The sequence below is a fragment of the Homo sapiens genome, chromosome 15, assembly GCF_000001405.40.
Source record: "Homo sapiens chromosome 15, GRCh38.p14 Primary Assembly".
In the NCBI taxonomy this organism is placed as follows: domain Eukaryota; kingdom Metazoa; phylum Chordata; class Mammalia; order Primates; family Hominidae; genus Homo; species Homo sapiens.
The window spans coordinates 22802840-22822990 of NC_000015.10; the positions used below are offsets into that span (position 1 = coordinate 22802840).

At 45.7% G+C, this 20151-nt stretch overlaps 1 protein-coding gene across 2 annotated transcripts in view; it reads left to right on the forward strand.

Moving 5' to 3' along the window:
• Positions 1-20151, forward strand: part of NIPA1 (NIPA magnesium transporter 1) — a 43565-nt gene that overhangs the window by 16615 nt on the left and 6799 nt on the right. For both annotated transcript variants that reach the window (NM_001142275.1, NM_144599.5), the window contains exons 2-4: positions 7910-7957; positions 9324-9414; positions 17474-17634. In NM_001142275.1, coding sequence (NP_001135747.1) covers position 7957; positions 9324-9414; positions 17474-17634 — 253 coding nt within the window. In that variant the 5' untranslated portion in view covers positions 7910-7956. The remainder of the gene's footprint in view (positions 1-7909; positions 7958-9323; positions 9415-17473; positions 17635-20151) is intronic.

Here is a 20151-nt window from a genome sequence, read left to right on the forward strand (position 1 = left end):
GTTTGAAGATTCATCGTGATGTGGGTATCAGCAATATGTTCCTTATTATTGCTGAGTAGTGTTGTGTTGTTTGAGTATACCAGTTTACATATCCATTCTCCTGTTGATGAACTTTTTTTTTTTTGGGTGGGTGGTGACAGAGACTCTTGCTCTGTCGCCCATGCTGGAGTGCAGTGGTGCGATCTTGGCTCACTGTAACCTCTGCCTACCGGGTTCAAGCGATTCTCCTGCCTCAGCCTCTCCAGTAGCTGGGATTATAGGCAGCTGTCACCATGCCTGGCTAAGTTTTGTATTTTTAGTAGAGATGGGATTTCACTATGTTGGCCAGGCTGGTCTCAAACTCCTGACCGCGGGTGATCCACTCACCTCGGCCTCCCAAAGTGCTGGGATTATAGGCATGAGCCACCACATCTGGCTGGGTTCCCAAAGTGCTGGGATTATAGGCATGAGCCACCACGCCTGGCTGGGTTCTACCGTATTATTGACTGGTAAGAGTGTGTGTGTGTATATGTATATATTACGTATGTATATATATACTCACACATATATACGCATATATTAACCATACAGATATATGTTATATATCTGGATACAAGTTTTTGTCAGATACAGGGATTGGAAATATTTTCTCTGTGGCTTGCCTTTTCATTTTCTTAAAAGTGCCTTTTTTTTTTTTTTTTTTTTTTTGAGACGGAGTCTCACTCTGTTGCGTAGGCTGGAGTGCAGTGGCGTGATCTTGGCTCACTGCAACCTCTGCCCCCCTGGTTCAAGTGATTCTCCTGCCTCAGCCTCCTGAGTAGCTGGGATTACAGGCACCTGCTACCGGGCCCGGCTAATTTTTTTTTTTTTTTTTTTTTTGAGACAGAGTCTTGCTCTGTCGCCCAGGCTGGAGTGTAGTGGCGTGATCTCAGCTCACTGCAGACTCTGCCTCCCAAGTTCATGCCATTCTCCTGCCTCACGCTCCCGAGTAGCTGGGACTACAGGCACCCGCCACCACGCCCGGCTAATTTTTTGTATTTTTAGTAGAGACGGGGTTTCACTGTGTTAGCCAGAATGATCTCGAGCTCCTGACCTTGTGATCTGCCCGCCTCGGCCTCCGAAAGTGCTGGGATCACAGGCGTGAGCCACCGTGCCCGGCCTTGTTTTTGTTTTTTTGAGACAGGGTCTCACTCTGTTGCCCAGGCTGGAATGCAGTGGCGTGATCTTGGCTCACTGCAACCTCTGCCTCCCTAGTTCGAGCGATTCTCCTGCGTCAGCGTCCTGAGTAGCTGGGATTACAGGCATGAACCACCACATCCAGCTAATTTTTTAAATTTTTAGTAGAGACGGGGTTTCATCATGTTGGCCAGGCTGGTGTCGAACCCCTGACCCCAGGTGATTCACCCACCTCAGCCTCCCAAAGTGCAAGGATTACAGGTGTGAGCCACCGCACCCAGCTGGGCCCGGCTAATTTTTGTATTTTTAGTAGAGAAAGGGTTTCACCATCTTGGCCAGGCTGGTCTTGAACTCCTGACCTCGTGATCCACCCGCCCCGGCCTCCTAAAGTGCTAGGATTACAGTCATGAGCCACTGCGCCTGGCCTAAAAGTTCCTCTTGAGGAGCACGAATGTTTAGTTTTGTTGAAGTCTAATTTGTCTGTTTTTTTCCTATCTGGTCGGTGCTTTTGATTTCTGCCTGAGAAATCTTTGTCTCTCCTCAGGTCACAATGGCATCTTCTTGTGTGTTCTTAGAGCTTCACAGCTTTAGTGTTTAGCGTTAGGTCCGTAAGCCACGTTGAGTTACAGGATGGTCTGAGGCATGAATTAAACTTCAACGTTTTCTCTACAACATCCAGTTGGTCCAGCACCATTTGTTGGAGACTTTTCCATTGAATTGTACTGGTGCTTCATTCAGTCTGTGATCTGGCTGTACATGTATGGACCGATTTCTGAACTCTATTCCGTTGTGTTTGTCTATCCTTATGCCAGTACCATACTGTCTTGATTATATAGTTTTATAGTAAATTTTTTTTTTTTTAAGACGGAGTCCGCTCTGTCGCCCAGGCTGGAGTGCAGTGGCGCAATCTTGGCTCACTGCAAGCTCCGCCTCCTGGGTTCACACCATTCTCCTGCCTCAGCCTCCCGAGTGAGTAGCTGGGACTACAGGCACCTGCCACCATGCCTGGCTAATTTTTTGCATTTTTAGTAGAGATAGGATTTCACTGTGTTAGCCAGGATGGTCTCAATCTCCTGACCTCATGATCCACCTGCCTCAGCCTCCCAAAGTGCTGGGATTACAGGCGTGAGCCACCATGCCCAGCCTATGGTAAATCTTAAAATTAGATAGTATATGTCATAAAACTTTGTCTTTTTTCCATAATTGCCAAACTATTTCTTAGGAAAAATAAGTTCTGCATATCTAATAACCAACAGGCAAAAGAACTTCAAATATTAAGTCCATGAGTTAAGTTGGTGCACAGCAGTGCTCAGTTAATGTTTCAGAAGGCAGTTAATGCCTTCCTCTGGCTGTGCCGGTGTCAGGAAAGAATATTTATTTATTCTTAGTCCTTCTTAGAGAACTCTGTAGGACCGGGCGCGGTGGCTCACGCCTGTAATCCCAGCACTTTGGGAGGCCGAGGTGAGCGGATCACCTGAGGTCAGGAGTACAAGACCATCCTGACCAATATGGTGAAACCCTGTCTCTACTAAAAATACAAAAATTAGCTGGGTGTGGTGGCGCAGCCTGTAATGCCAGCTACTCAGGAGGCTGAGGCAGGAGAACTGTTTGAACCCAGGAGTCAGAGGTTGCAGTGAGCAGAGATCACACCAGTGCACTCCAGCCTGGGCAAGAGAGTGAGACTCTGTCTCAAAAAGAAAAAGAAAAAGAAAAATCTGTAAAAACTATGTTACATCTTTTTTATACATTAATTTACAAAGAACTAGTTATCCACTCTTGCTTGGCTTTTATCAGCAACTTCTGTTGTTGATGTTAGAAGCACACATAAGTGGAAGCAATCTTTTTGTGGAATAATTAGAAGGTAAATACATTGGATGCCCATCTATATTTTTATACTATAAAGCTGTATTTTATTTATTTTTTTTTACTTATTTATTTATTTATTTTGGGATGGAGTCTCACTCTGTCGCCCAGGCTGGAGTGCAGTGGCGCGATCTCGGCTCACTGCAAGCTCCGCCTTCTGGGTTCACACCATTCTCCTGCCTCAGCCTCCCGAATAGCTGGGACTACAGGCGCCCGCCACCACGCCCAGCTAATTTTTTGTATTTTTAGCAGAGACGGGGTTTCACCGTGTTAGCCAGGATGGTCTTGATCTCCTGACCTTGTGATCCGCCCGCCTCGGCCTCCCAAAGTGCCGGGATTACAGGCGTGAGCCACCGCGCCCGGCCTAAAGCTGTATTTTAAGGACATTTCCGACACATTTATAACTAAATGGAAGGTCTAAAGCCACATGCCCCTGGTTGGACAGCATCACTGTCAGTTGATACTGTCATCCTGGCAAGGCTCTTTTGTGTTTGCACAAACACTTCTTTGTTTTATAGTTTAGCTGTTATAAACAGCTATGCAACTCTCAGCACCCAGGGTTTCCAATGAGAGGAAAACCAATGGAACTTAGCGATCATATCCTCTGCAGCCCACACCTAGGAGTGGGGGAGGAGACGTGAGTGTGGCAAGACAAACAGCATCCTCTGCATCCTTCAGTGCTGCAGCTCCCTGTTGTTGCTGAGGCCGGAGGACCTGCAGATTAATAGAGGACCGTCATCAACTGGGAAGAGGAGAAGCTTGGGCATAGATACCTACTGAGAGTGCTGGCTAATGAGCTTTCGGAACAACAGTGCTTAGGGGCAGCAATGCTTAGGGTGAAACTGTGAAGAAACCCAGTTGTTTTAGATATCCTCACAGATATCTGTATGACGGGCCAAGGGCTAATATGGAATGCAGACTCCTAGGAGCTCCTGGCAAAAGAAGGAGGAGGGAAAATGGAGCAGCCAACTCAGTGAGGAAGCTGGGCACACAGCCATGCACTTCCTGCAGGGCAGAACAGGGGACACCCCTGGACCGAGGCTCTCAGGGACCATGTGCAGGAGCTTCACTTTTGTTTATGGGTAGGGGTATGGGACAGGTACCTGGATGGAGAAAAACCTGACTTGCTTAATGTCTGTGGATGCAGAAAAATTTTGCCTAATACTGGTTTAAAAGGTGAGGGTGACCTATACACCTTTTGATTTGTGCAAATCCAGGCTCTTGATGGAGAGTACAAGTTGCAGGGCCTGAAATGCTTGGAACTGAACTGGACCCTTTGGGAAAAGAACAAAAACCATTTTGTTCACTTTGCCATTCCTGTGTACCTGGTATTCCAGGTTCCTCCTCATTTTGTGACTTTTGACATTTTATAAACTGCCAAAAACATATACTATGTGATGATCAATGTTGGGATAACCATAGCAGTGAAAGGGGGGTGCCTATGGGCCTCATTGCACTGGTCACTGTCATCCTTGACCAGCTTTCACTGTAGGAGGGTCACACAGTCCAGCTGCTGTAGCAGGAATCCCATGACTTCACAAAACGTCCTGACCAAACCATGTTCATTACAATAAAAGGACAGCTGGATGTGGTGGCCCACGCCTGTAATCCCAGCTACTTGGGAGGCTGAGGCAGGAGAATCACTTGAACCTGGGAGATGGAGGTTGCAGTGAACTGAGAGACCATGCCACTACACCCCAGCCTGGGCAACAGAGTGAGACCCTGTCTCAAAAAGAAAAAAAAAATCTAAAAACCCAATAAAAACAAAATCAAAAGTTGGTTCTTTGAAAAGAACAATGAAATTGACAAACCTTTAGCTAGACTGACCAAGCAAAAAAGAAGAATCAAATTACTAAAATCAGGAATGAAAAAGGAGATATTTTCTGTATGCCCTTAGGATAATTTCCACAGAGTTTAAATTCACTTGTGTGTGTGTGTGTGTGTGTGATGGAGTCTCTCTCTGTTGCCCAGGCTGGAGTGCAGTGGCACAATCTCGGCTTACTGCAAGCTCTGCCTCCCAGGTTCATGCCATTTTCCTGCCTCAGCCTCCCAAATAGCTGGGACTACAGGCGCCCACCACCATGCCCAGCTAATTTTTTTTTGTATTTTTTTTAGTAGAGACGGGGTTTCACTGTGTTAGCCGGGATGGTCTCGGTCTCCTGACCTTGTGATCCACCAACTTCGGCCTCGCAAAGTGCTGGGATTACAGGCATGAGCCACTGCACCCGGCCCACTTTGTTAAGTACTTTATTTATTAGTTATGGTGGTTTTGTTGGGAAACTGGTCCACAGACTTTTCACACTAGTATTCTGGACCTGATGACCTTTCACTCAAGTATTCGGCATGCATTTTGGGATAGCCACTTTGATTAGCACATTTAGAAATCTAACATTGATTCTGTATTAATAGCTGACTCTCCTACAGTGCCCACCATGGGACATTCTTAAGCTTCGCTAAACTTTCTGCTTCATAGGACACCCTGGGTCCTGTTTGTATTAGATACACTGAGAGGGACACCAGACAGGAGCCCCAGTGGTGCCAGGCTGTCTTCTCCAGTGGAGCCTGGCAGCAGAGGTAGGGCGTGGCTCAGGGCTGGGAGACAGCCACAGCAGGCAGGTGGCACAACTGATGCTGGGGACTTTGACCACTTGGCTAAGCCAGTGTCCATCAGGCTTATCTATAAAGATAACTTTTTCTGTTCATAATTAATAAGAAAAACCCATGGAGGTGACTCAGTAAATTTTCATTCGCTTGTTTTAGTATCCGTTAATGATTCTTGCCTAAATCAGTTTTTACTGTGATGTGATCAAATAGCAATATTCTTTTTTTTGAGACAGTGTCTCACTCTATCACCCAGGCTGGAATGAAGTGGCATGATCATGGCTAACTGCAGCCTCATCCTCCTGGGCTCAAGCGATTCTTCTGTCTCAGCCTCCTGAATAGCTGGGACCACAGGCATGCACCACCACACCCAGCTAATTTTTAAATTTTTTGTAGAGATAGAGTCTTGCTATGTTGCCCAGGCTGACCTTGAACTCCTAGGCTCAAGTGATCATCCTGCCTCAGGCTTCCAAAATGCTGGCATTACAGGTGTGAGCCGCCGGGCCCAGCCCCCATTTCATTTTGTAAGTACTTTTTCTAATACTTGTAGCTCTGCTGCTCCATTAAGCAGGCTAGCAGGCTATGTGTCTTATACCAAATTGTGGTTTTCCTACTGAGAATAAAAACAATTAGAATTAGTTACTGTGGCTGGGCACGGTGATTCACTCCTGTAATCACAGCACTTTGGGAGGCTGAGGTGGGTGGATCACTTGGAGCCAGGAATTGAAGACCAGCCTGGCCAATATAGCAAAACCCCCTCTCTACTAAAAATACAAAAATTAGCCGCACGTGGTGGTGCACGCCTGTAATCCCAGCTACTTGGGAGGCTGAAGCATGAGAATTGCTTGAACCCAGGAGGCAGAGGTTGTAGTCAGCTGAGATCGTGCCACTGCACTCCAGCCTCAGCGACAGAGTGATACTCCATCTCAAAAAAAGGAAAAGGAAAAAAGAATTCATTACTGTAATCTGTGGTTAACAACAAAAAATCTCCTCAAAAAATGCTTAGCAGGCCAGGCGTGCTGCACACCTGTAATCCAGCAGTTTGGGAGTCTGAGGCAGGCGGATCACCTGAGGTCAGGAGTTCGAGACCAGCCTGACCAATTTGGTGAAACCCCGTCTCTACTAAAAATTCAAAAATTAGCCAGGTGTGGTGGCATGCTCCTGTAGTCTCAGCTACTCGGGAGGCTGAGACGGGAGAATTGTTTGAACCCGGAAAGTGGAGGTTTCAGTGAGTCAACATCGCACCAGTGCATTCCAGCCTGGGTGACAGAGTGAGACTCTGTCTGAAAAAAAAAAAAAGGCCAGGCGCGGTGGCTCACACCTGTAATCCCAGCATTTTGGGAGGCCGAGGTGGGCGGATCACCTGAGATCGGGAGTTCAAGATCAGCCTGACCAACGTGGAGAAACCTCGTCTCTACTAAAAAAAAATACAAAATTAGCTGGGCATGGTGGCACATGCCTGTAATCCCAGCTACTAGGGAGGGTGAGGCAGGAGAATCGCTTGAACCTGGGAGGAGGCGGAGGTTGCGGTGAGCCGACATCGCGCCATTGCACTCCAGCCTGGGCAACAAGAGTGAAACTCTGCCTCAAAAAAAAAAGTGCTTAGGAGCATTTTGCCATATCTGAAGGACAAACCTGTCTCAAAGGTTGGGAGACCTCTCACCATACACACCTGTCAAGAGGCAGGGGGAGGGAGGAAGGTGCTGGGGCTCCGCCTGCCCTGCGTGGGATGGGTGGGGTAACCTGAGAGGATGCCGGCAAGTCTCAGGTCAAATGTCAGAGCATCAGGTGAGTGTAAGGATGTGGTTCCCGCATGGCTGAAAGAAGAGTCGTATCAGAAGAGTTATAAATAATGAAAATTGAGTGACTTGTTTAAGCAGGAAGTCAAACCCTATGATAATAAAATTCTTATATAAATGGACTACAGTAAATGCATGAGAGAGTTGGACTTTAAAGACTCAAACCCTTTTGAGATAAAAATAAAACTCCATCAAAGGAATATCTTTGTGGTAGCTTGTTGGGTGAAAGAAAACTGATGTATAAAGATCTCATTTCCTTATTTGGGTCAGCCTGTGTTGGTTGCAAAAAATATCTTGACTTTGCCACTTTCGGTGGTCTCTAATGCTGCCATTTATAGATGAAAGATTCTCTTTAGGGTGAATAAACAGTATGACATTCATTCTTTTCAATTTTAGTTTTCATGTCAAAAGTTTCTCGCTTGTAAACCTCTTCCTGATATACGTAGCTGGTAAACCCACTTTTCTGACATTTTTTATCTCATTTTTTATAGGTACTTCCTATTTAACAGACATTGTGTGGTGGGCTGGCACAATCGCAAGTAAGTAGCCTGTGTGGCGAAGTCTGGTCTTTTCCTTTCTTAGAATCCATCACTGGTCTGGGCAGGGCTGGAGTGGCTGGGCTAGGGTGGCTCTGTTCTTTGGAAGAGGGTGTCGCGTGGCCTCTCCCCAGGCCCTAAGCGTGCCTTTCAGTTCGGATGTCCCTGCCTCCCCAGGGCACTCTCCCTGCTCCCCTTCCTCCCAGGATGAGAGTGCAGAAGGACAAGTTAGGAGCTGGTGGAGGCCCCTGCTGCCCACGATTAGCCGTGAATTCAGTCCAGGCTGATCTGTCCTGGGCCCGAAGAAATTAAAACAGCTCCTGCTTACTCATGTAGTCGGGCTGTTGGCATTTGGTGAAATTCCATGTTAGGCTGCCTTGTTTTTCTCAGCACAGTTGGTTTAACAGAGAATTTCATGAGTCAAAGATCAGGTCATGTGCTATAATGTAAAGATAAATAATAATATTAGAGTTCAGAACTCTAAATGTATTATAAAGGACAATTGTCTTTGAAATTCAGAAATATTATGTTTGGCCAGGCATGGTGGCTCACGCCTGTAATCCCAGCACTTTGGGAGGCTGAGACAGGTGGATTGTTTGAGCCCAGGAGTTCAAGACCAGCCTGGGAAACATGGCAAAACCCTGTCTGTACAAAAACAAAAATTACCTGGGCATGGTGGGATGCACCTGTTTTCAAAGCTATTTGGAGGCTGAGGTGGGAGGATTGCTTGAGCCTGGGAGGTGGAGGCTGCAGTGAGCCAAGATCACGCCAGTGCACTCCAGCCTGGCTGACAGAGTGAGACTCTGTCTCAAAAGAAAAAAAAGAAACATCATGTACTTTGTTTGTCACATTTGTCTTTTAATACGACATTACGTGGCAATACCAATTCTGTTCCTTGAAGAGCTCCTCTTTAAGCTCCATCTGGGTGATGTCCCTGCTGCAGTCTTGTGCGGCAGTACTGTATCCTCTTGCTATGCCAGTGGCCTGTCACCGTGGCCAGCTGCCTATGCCAGAGTAGGTCCCAGGCCACTAGAGGGTGCACAGGAAGTTCTGCCTGATTTGTGTGAAAACAAGGATGTGTTAAGAGAGCGGAGATATGCCCAGTGCTGCGCCCATTTCAGTCACTGCTGGTTAGGTTCGGCATTTCCATGGAGGGCTGAACCTACTCACCCGACTGATGGGACCAGTGAAGGTGTGGTTCCTGACCCCTGACCCCTTAAATGTGCAGATGACACCCCAGATGTGATTCTTCACAAGTAATGTGAATGAAGTAGCCCTTTCAGGGCAGAGCCTAGCGTAATTCAACTGTGATCAGTGCTGGAAGAGAGCTCTGTAATTGCAAGTAGTATCCTTGTGATTTTCTTGACAGTGGCTGTTGGCCAGATTGGAAACTTCCTGGCTTACACGGCGGTCCCCACGGTCCTGGTAACCCCCCTGGGCGCCCTTGGAGTACCGTTCGGGTGAGAGCCAAGATTGTGTTTGGTATTTAATGTGTAGTGTAGATATAACAACTTTTCATTTTAAATGTTTCTGTTAAAGTAATAAGAGCAAAATTGTAATAGAAGATAGATCTTCAGGCCGGGCATGGTGGCTTACGCCTGTAATCCCAGCACTTTGGGAGGCCAAGGAGGGTGAATTATTTGAGGTCACGAGTTCAAGACCAGCCTGGCCAACATGGTGAAACCCTGTCTCTACTAACAATATGAAAAATTAGCTGGACATGGTGGCGACCACCTGTAGTCCTAGCTACTCGGGAGGGTGAGACACAAGAATTGCTTGAACCTGGGGGGCAGAGGTTGCAGTGAGTTGAGATGGCACCACAGCACTCCAGCCTGGGAGACAGAGCGAGACTCTGCCTTAAAAAAAAAAAAGAAGATAGATCTTCAGTATTCTACTCTATATCGTTTAATTTTATCCCTTCAAATGTAGTTCTGGGTAGTATTAACCCTTTTCTTAGATATTTAGTATATTTGAAACTGTCACTCATTTTTCCTGCTTATCAGTGAATCTGATGCTCTCATTCTCCTGGTCGTTGTCCTGGAGTACATCTTAGAGACTAGAGAGTCTTCTGACACCTTGGCAAGTTATTCTGAGAACTCATTAAGCAAAATGACTGAGTTGGTGTTTTATTGGGGTGCTTAGCATTCCTTGCTGGATGCCGGACAGTCCCCACCTCAGCCCAGGAAATTACAGAGGTTGGGATGAATAATACACGGCATCAATGGATGTGAAATAGGATTTATGACTGACGCAGTCAATAGCACATGGATTTTCTTAGGAGAAGGTCCCGGGTTTGGTTCTGAGTGAGACGAGTGAGGGGGACCTTTGGATTTTTATTGTAGTTAGGTGGTGGGGTGGGCTGGGGGGCGGTTTGCATGCTTAGGCCGGGCTGGCATGGAGTGAAGTTTTTGCCCATGCCAAGGGACTGAGGACTCTGGGAACTGAGGACTCCAGGGACCCAGTGTGTGCGCAGGCTTCTTTTTAAATTTTAATTTCATTTTATTTATTTTTTTAATTTTATTTCTCCATTTTAAATCATCTTTTTAATTGATACACATGAGTAAGCTTCCTATAAGGTTGCCCAGTTGTGGGGCAAAGGGGAAAGGGGGGAAATGGGAACTGGAGGGCTGCAAGCCATCAAACATTGCAGCTGGACTCTCTGTTTACTTACTGCGAAAATGATTGATGAGATACTTATTAAATAACATATATCCTCGTGTGAACCTATTTATATTCTGATTTGTCTTTGAAGAAATCATTAGAAATAAAAATAGGGTAGAAGAGAAATAAAATCCAAGTTTCTAACTCATGGATACATTGGTTTTCTGCTGTATTCCAGACAGATGCCCAAATCCTTGCAGAGAAGTGTGTCCATGATGGGTGTATTGAAGTTTACACCTTAGAGTCACGTAGGCATTAAGGTTCTGTGACCTAAATACCATGTTTTTCACATGCGACGCCTTGAGAATGTGTGTGTGGCACATTTTTCTCGTGAACACATACACTGCTATCATGTGTGGCTTGGTGTCCCTTTGTGTTTCGGATGGCTCTGAGGCGCTGGGAGGGCAAGAGTGTTCTCACTTTGGGAAACACTCCTCCAGCTTCTGTGACCCGTCCCCCTGAAAGATAATCAGGCAGATAAACAACCTGACCTGGTGATCTTGGCACGTGGCACATTGAATGCACATATACTAAAATGTTTTGCTCAGTTAATTTCCTTAGAACTGTTCTCATGCACTTTGATGATTAAGTCACTTCACCAGAAATGTTCACTGCTCCACATCTGCAGGTGTTACTCACTGTAGGAACCATGTCAGATGGTGTTCTGGATAAAAAGCCTGTCTTCAACTTGGAATCCCAGTAAGACCTTTTCTTTTAAACAGAATAAAACTAAAATTAATTTGGAAAAAAACAATCAAAGATGATTATCAAAGTGTGCATATATGTATGTATATATGAGTTTTTTTTTTGTTTTTTTTTTTGAGACGGAGTCTCGCTCTGTCGCCCAGGCTGGAGTGCAGTGGCACGATCTCGGCTCACTGCAAGCTCTACCTGCTGGGTTCATGCCCGGCTAATTTTTTTTGTATTTTTAGTAGAGACGGGGTTTGACCGTGTTGGCTGGGATGGTCTTGATCTCCTGACCTCGTGATCCGCCCGCCGTCCTCCCAGAGTGCTGGGATTACAGGCCTGAGCCACCACGCCTGGCCAATATGTATGTATATATGTATATTTTAAAAGCAGTTCTGTTCTTGATAATGGGATGGGGTTGCTGGAATTACATAGAAACAGAAATGAAAAGAATGTGGCACTGGAAAAATAAGTCTGTGTAGCAGTGAATAGAATAGAGAGCCCCCAAATAGGTTCATTTCTTTCTGTAATAGTGTAATGTATGATAAAGTAATCATCTGTACATGCTGTGTTTAGAAAGAGGTTTAAAAAACTTTTGGGAAATATTTTCAAATTACAGAAAGGAAACAGGATTAAGTATAACCAAAGCAATGTCCATCTCCCCTTACCCAGACACACCTGCTGCTAACATCTTACCCACTTGCCTCATCATACACTTTCTCTGTATCTGGGTATCTCAGTCTCAGCACTGTTGATGCTTGAAGCCAGATAACTCTTTGTTGAGGGAGCCATTCTGTGCATTGTGAGGTGTTTAGCAGCATCCTGGCCTTCACCTCCCAGATGCCAGTAGCACTCAACCTCCCCAAAATGTCTCCAGACACTGGCAGATGTCCCCTGCGGGGCAAACCACCCCTGGTCAAGAAGCACTGTTCTATATGAATATGATGTGATTTTTTTTTCCTGTTTTTAAAAAAAAATCCATTTTAGCATAAGTTATGATTCTTTACCCCTGAACACATCAATTAGTATTTTCTAAGAGTAGAGATATTCAGATTCTCTCCAAATAACCACAGTACAGTGATCAATTTCGATAAATTTAACCTTGTTATGATACATGTATCAAATCAACCTCCATATTCCAATTCTGACAATTGACCTGTTATGCCATTATTTTATGTCATTATCTTTTATACCGTTATTTTTCTTCTAGTACAAGATCTAGGCCAGGTGCAGTGTGATTCATGCTTGTAATCCCAGCACTTTGGGAGGCCAAGGCAGGTGGATCATTTGAACCCAGGGAGACCAGCCTGGCCAGCATGGCAAAACCCTGTCTCTACTAAAAATACAAAAATTATCCAGGTGTGGTGGCACACACCTGTAATCCCAGCTACTTGGGTGGCTGAGGGGCAGAGATTGCAGTGAATTGACATTGAACCACTGCTCCAGCCTGGGTGACAGAGCAAAACTCTGTCCCTCCCCCGCCCCCCAAAAAAACAAAGAAAAGATAAAGCTCATTAAAAAAACAACTATGAACTAATTCTCTTATGAATATAGATGGAGAAATTTTGAACAAAATACTAACCAGTTGGATCCAGCAATATATAAAAAGGATTATACAAGTGGGATTTATCCCAGAAATGCAAAGTAGATTTAGCATTGAAAATAAATTAGTGTAATATACCACAGCAATAGAATAATCACCATGTGATCATCTCAAAAGACACACAAAAATTATGTGGTACAATTCAATACTCTTTCATGACGAAAACTCTCAATATGCTAGGCATAGAAAATAACTTCCTAAACTGACAAAGGGCCTCTGTCAAAGTACCCCAGCTAACATCATACTTAATGGCACAAGGGTTGATGTTTTCCCCTTAAGATCAGGAAGAAAATAAGCTGCCTACTTTCACCTCATCTATTCATCATTGTACTGGATGTTATAGCCACAGCAATTAGGTAAGCAAACAAATTAAAAGGCATCCATATTGGAAAGGAAAGGAAGAATTTAATTGCCTTTATTGGCAGAAGACCTGATTTTTTTTTTTTTTTTTTTTTTTTTTTTTGAGACAGAGTCTCACTCTGTCACCAGGCTAGAGTTCAGTTGTGTGATCTTGGCTCACTGCAACCTCCACCTCCCGGGTTCAAGTGATTCTCCTTCCTCAGCCTCCCGAGTAGCTGGGACTACAGGCGCGTACCACCATGCCCAGCTAATTTTTGTATTTTTAGTAGAGACGGGGTTTCACCATGTTAGCCAGGATGGTCTTGATTTCCTGACCTTGTGGTCTGCCTGCCTCGGCCTCCCAAAGTGCTGGGATTACAGGTGTGAGCCACCGCACCCAGCCTTTTTTTTTTTTTTTTTTTTTTTCAGATGGAGTCTCACTCTGTCACCCAGGCTGGAGTGCAGTGGTGTGCTGTCGGCTCACTGCAACCTCGGCCTCCTGGGTTCAAGTGATTCTCCTGCCTCAGCCTCCGAGGAGCTTGGATTACAGGTGCCCACCACCACGCCCAGCTAATTTTTGTATTTTTAGTAGAGATGGGGTTTTGCCATGTTGGCTAGGCTAGTCTTGAACTCCTGACTTTAGGTGATCCACCCACTTTGGCCTCCCAAAGTGCTGGGATTACAGGCATGAGCCACCACACCCAGCAGAGGACCTGATCTTATATAGAGAGTCCTAAAGAATCACTAAGAAATTATTAGAACTAATAAGTTTAGCAAGGTCGATGGACACAAGATCACTATATAAAAATTACATCTGAGGCCGGGCGTAGTGGCTCACTCCTGTAATCCCAGCACTCTGGGAGGCTGAGACGGGAAGATCACCTGAGGTCAGGAGTTAGAGACCAGCCTGGCCAACATGGTGAAACCCCATCTCTACAAAAATACAAAAAAAAATCAGCCAGGTGTGGTGGCACATGCCTGTAGTCCCAGCTACTCAGGAGGCTGAGGCAGGAGAATTGCTTAAACCCAGGAGGTAGAGGTTACAGTGAGCCGAGATTGTGCCACTGCACTCCAGCCCAGGCAACAGAGTGAGACTCTGTCTCAAAAAAAAAAAAAAAAAAAAAAAATTACATCTGCCAGGCGCAGTGGCTCAGGCCTGTAATCCCAGCACTTTGGGAGGCTGAGGTGGGTGGATCACCTGAGGTAAGGAGTTCGAGATCAGCCTGACCAACGTGGTGAAACCCCGTCTCTCATAAAAATACAAAATTAGCCAAGCATGGTGGCGCATGCCTGTAATCCCAGCCACTCGGGAGGCTGAGGCAGGAGAATCGCTTGAACCCAGTAGGCAGAGGTTGCAGTGAGCCGAGATCGGGCCATTGCACTCCAGCCTGGGCAACAAAAGCGAAACTCCGTCTCAAAAAAAAAAAAAAAAATTACGGCTGGGCACAGTGGCTGATGCCTGTAATCCCAGCACTTTGGGAGGCTGAGGTGGGTGGATCACGAGGTCAGGAGATCAAGACCATCCTGGCTAACACGGTGAAACCCCATCTCTACTAAAAGAAATACAAAAAATTAGCCGGGCGTAGTGGCAGGCACCTGTAGTCCCAGCTACTCGGGAGGCTGAGGCAGGAGAATGGCGTGAACCCGGGAGGCGGAGCTTGCAGTGAGCTGAGATCGTGCCACTGCACTTCAGCCTGAGTGACAGAGCGAGACTGTGTCTCAAAGAAAAAAAAAAAAAATTGCATCTATATACAGTAGCAGTGAGCAAACCAAAAATGAAATTAAGAAAGCAATTTCATATGCAGTAGCACCAAAATGATGAAATACTTAAGAATAAATTTAACTGGCCAGGCACAGTGGCTTATGCCTTCAATTCCCACACTTTGGGAGGCCCAGGCAGGTGGATCACGAAGGGCACAAACAACAGAAGGAAAATAGATAAATTCGATGTCATCAAAATTAAAAACCTTTCTGCTTAAAAGGATGCCATCAATGAATTGAAAACTCGTGGGAGAAAAAATTTCAAAGTATATATCTGATAAGGGACTTGTAGTTAGAACACATAAAAACTCTTGCCGGTCGTGGTGGCTCACGCCTGTAATCCCAGCACTTTGGGAGGCCGAGGCGGGTGGATCATGAGATCAGGAGTTCGAGACCAGCCTGGCCAACATGGTAAAACTCCGTCTCTACTAAATACAAAAAATTAGCCTGGTGTGGTGGCACATGCCTGTAATCCCAGCTACTTGGGAGGCTGAGGCAGGAGAATTGTTTGACCTCAGGAGGTGGAGGTTCCATTGAGCCGAGATTGCGCCATTGCACTCCAGCCTGGGCACCAAGAGGGAAACTCTGTCTCAACAAAAGAAAACGAAACAGAAACTCTTACAGTGCATCAGTAAAAAGTCAGATAACCCAATTTAAAAATGGCACTGTCAGCCAGGCGCAGTGGCTCATGCCTATAATCCCAGCACTTTGGGAGGCGAGGCGGGTGAATCACTTGAGGTCAGGAGTTTGAGACCAGCCTGGCCAACATGGTGAAACCCCGTCCTTACTAAAAATACAAAAATCCCCCAGGGCATGGTGGCGGGCATCTGTAATCCCAGCTACTCGGGAGGCTGAGGCAGGAGAATTGCTTGAACCCGGGAGGCAGAGGTTGCAGTGAGTCGAGACTGCTCCACTGCACTCCAGCCTGGGTCACAGAGTGAGACTCTGTCTCAATAAATGAATGAATGAATGAATGAAAATGGCACTGTCCTCTGGTATTCCACAATGGAATAAGAGATGATTTGGCCTCGTGGCTCATACTGTCCACTTTCGTGCATGGCAACCCTTTCCCATCTTGGCATAGTCCACCCGTTGTCCGAGGCCAGTTCCAGGCCCACTTTTTGCCCTGTGAGCCCCCTGCATTTCTGGTTTCTCCTTTTCCAGGCAGCTACTCGGTGGAGCTTCTCTATTTAACATCTAGTTGTGTATTCATGTCTTTTGTTGTTTCTTTCAGTGATGTTGCTTATTTCCCCAATGACACTGTTGGGAGCTTCTTAAGAACAGGCTGTCTAGGGACAAGGATGTGAAGTGGTACAAGGGAAAAGTAGGCCGTTTAGGACCTGTGGGTGTGTCATGACCGTGCTTGTATCTCTTGTTAGCTTTGTGGCCTTAGGTTCAATGCTGACCCTTTCTGAGGCTCAAGTTTCCTTATCTTTAAAATAGGTATTAAAGGAAGTAATCCGGTCCATACCTGAGCCTGGTATGCCCTCCTCCCGGACGTTCCTGTTTTCTGATCGTCTTCAGCACAGACATGAGTAAAGTGACAATGACCAGTCCTGTGACTTACTGAGGGCAAGGTGTTCCAATTCAGATTGTATACTGATAATTACACAGGGAAATAAGAGAAGAAACAAGTTAGAAGCCTGGAGATTATAGATGTTTTTGAAGAATACATTTTTTTGCATTAATAATGTGACCAGTTTTTAAAAGTTTTCAGTATTAGAGGAAATAGCCACCCCATACTACTTCTACTACTGCAATTACTATTAGCATTTTTATTTTTTCTTTTGTTTGTGCATTTTTCACTTAATTTATTTTGTTTTTATCATGCATTACTTATAATTATTTTGACAGTTTTTGTACCCTACTTTTCCATGTAGCATAGATATTAGTATTTTTGATTGGTTCCTTTTATAAGAAAGGAAGCATTACTTTTATTTTTGGTCAGTCATAAAACTTTTTATACTCTGGTGTATTTTATATGTGCTGACATAGTAATATAGTGGTGTAAATTATGTGTATCATTAACTACGTAGTGGTTATACATGGAATTGGTGTGAAAATCCTGGCCAGGCATGGTGGCTCACACCTATAATTCCAGCACTTTGGGAGTCCAAGGCAAGAGGATCGTTTGAGCCCAGGAGTTTGAGACTTGCCTGGGCAATCTAGTGAGACCCAGTCTCTACACAAAATTTTTAAAAAATTAGCTGGGTGTGGTGGCATGCACCTGTAGTCCCAGCTACTCCGGTGGCTGAGGTAGGAGGATCACTTGAGCCCAGGAGTTCAAGCTTGTGGTGAGCTGTGATTGCACCACTGCACTCCAGCCTGGGCAACAGAGTGGGAGGTGGTCTCTTAAAGGGAAAAAAAGAAGAAAAAGAAAATGGTTTTTCTAGATAAAATATCTGCTGTTAGAAGAAAGGTCAGGTAGTTTGGTTTAAACTTTAATGATTTCTCTTTTTTCAATAAAGGTCCATTTTAGCTTCCTATCTCCTGAAGGAAAAGCTCAACATCTTGGGCAAGTTGGGGTGCCTGCTAAGCTGTGCAGGCTCCGTCGTGCTGATTATCCACTCCCCAAAGTCTGAGAGTGTGACAACTCAGGCTGAGCTGGAGGAAAAGCTGACCAATCCAGGTAATTCCTTTCTAGCAGCACTGCCAAGAAAGTTTGCAGTAGGAGTGCCAACTTTTTTAACCACGTCTTCAAATTGGATGCTTCCTGGCAGGGCAGAGGAACCGTGTGTCCACCCTGATCTGTTACTGTAGATCTGTGTTCTCTGGGAACGTGCATCAGTGGGCTGTGCTCGCAGGCTAGCCCTCTGCCCTCACCCTCCCGCCTGATCCTCAGGCCCTGCGGGGAGCCTCCGTGGCCTGGTATTCCTTCGGGTTCTCTTCTGGGGCCTTGTGCATGGGCGCCTTCCCTTCCCACAGTGGCTCCCCTTGGGCCACCCTCCCAAGTCTGACTGCCACCCGCCCCTCCCCACATACCTTTCCTGGTGTACCCTGCCCACTCTATCTCCACCTCAGCACTTCACTCCCTCCAGCGTGAAGCTCTGTGAGAACAAAGACCTGGCATCTCTTAAGTTTAGATTCCTCATATAGCCCTGTTTATATATCTTTTGACATAATTTCTTTTCTTTTCTTTTTTTTTTTTTTGGAGACGGAGTCTCGCTCTGTCACCCAGGCTGGAGTGCAGTGGCGCGATCTCAGCTCACTGCGAGCTCCGCCATTCTTCTGCCTCAGCCTCCTGAGTAGCCGGGGACTACAGGCGCCTGCCACCATGCCCGGCTAATTTTTTTTGTATTTTTAGTAGAGATGGGATTTCATCATGTTAGCCAGGATGGTCTTGATCTCCTGACCTCGTGATCCGCCCACCTCGCCCTTCCAAAGTGCTGGGATTACAGGCGTGAGCCACCATGCCCGTCCTTTTTTTATTTTGATAAATACACTAAAAACTACTATCTACGTGATTACAACAGACTTAAAGTATAGATTTCACTTTAAGTAGACCACCCTGTGTTGCTTACCAACAAGTTTAGGCAGGTTCCAGCACAAAACTGCCTCCACATCAGTTTGCTGGTTTACATGTCCACACTCGCTGGTTTGCATGTCCATACTCGCTGGTTTGCATGTCCACACTCCCTGGTTTTCATATCCACACTCGCTGGTTTTCTCGTCCACACTCACTGGTTTTGTCCACACTCGGTGGTCTGCATGTCCACACTCGCTGGTTTTCTTGTCCACACTCACTGGTTTTCTTGTCCACACTGGCTGGTTTGCATGTCCACACCCTGGTTTGCATGTCCACACCCTGGTTTGCAAGTCCACACTCGCTGGTTTGCATGTTAACACCTAGTTTGCATGTCCACACTCACTGGTTTTCTTGTCCACACTCGCTGGTTTTCTTGTCCACACTCTCTGGTTTGCATGTCCACACTTGCTGGTTTGCATAGCCAGCAGTTCCCAGCCCTCTCAGGTCCATTTGTGATGTTGGAATGGATTTCATGGAAAACACAACCTCCTTATACACACAAGTTCAAACCATCAATTTAATGCCCTAACTGTAATATAAAGGAGAAATACCAGGACAATACTTTAAAACAAAACATCCCTTTCAATATGTAAATGCTCAGGTCCCACTATAAGAGAAGACCTATTGAAGCTGGCCGACCCCACACCTTGTGAGGAGTGGTTGAGAATCTGGTAGCTGCAGATATAGACTGACGTGGGGGTGTAATGTTATTGACTGGGACACTTGAGGTCTTGCTATCAACAAAATGATCCTCAGATGGAGCATAACTCTTAATGAAGTTTTGATCAAAGAACAATCCTCCCTCAATTTACATGGAAGTGACATGTCTGAAGAATTCAGCATATATTAAATCCATGCAAAAATTACTTTGTTTCATACATAAAATAGTTTCTAGGCTCTGATTATTATAGGCATATTTTTCAGTTACAAGTCCGAGGAGACATTCAGCAGTTGTGACGAGAATGGGATGATTTTTGATGGGGGTGGGGGTTGCTGTCTGCACATGCCTCTGCCCACTGGATGCAGCCCCCAATCATTGCAAAACCCACAAACACCCCCACAGCTTAAAGTCCTCCCTCCTGTCCCCTGCCTTACCCCTGCCCCCTGGATTCCCAGGTGCTTTTTTGAAACCTCGGAGCATCTCCATTCACTTGTATTGTTAAGAGAATGTTTCTAGGCCGGGCACAGTGGCTCACGCCTGTAATCCCAACACTTTGGGAGGCCGAGGACGGCGGATCACCTAAGGTCAGGAGTTCGAGACCAGCCTGGCCAACATGGCGAAACCCCGTCTCTGCTAAAAATATAATAGCCAGGCGTGGTGGCGGGTGCTTATGTATTCCCAGCTACTCAGGAGGCTGAAGCAGGAGAATCGCTTGAACCTGGGAGGTGGAGGTTGCAGTGAGCAGAGATCGTGCTATTGCAATCCAGCCTGGGCAACAAAGAGCAAAACTCCATCTCAAAAAAACAAAACAAACAACAAGAAAAAAAGAGAATGGTTCCAATAGAGGACCATGTAAACATTTAGGAGCTGTAAATGGTTTTTTTTTTTTTTTTTTTTTTTTTTTTGAGACGGACTCTTGCTCTGTCGCCCAGGCTGGAGTGCAGTGGTGTGATCTCGGC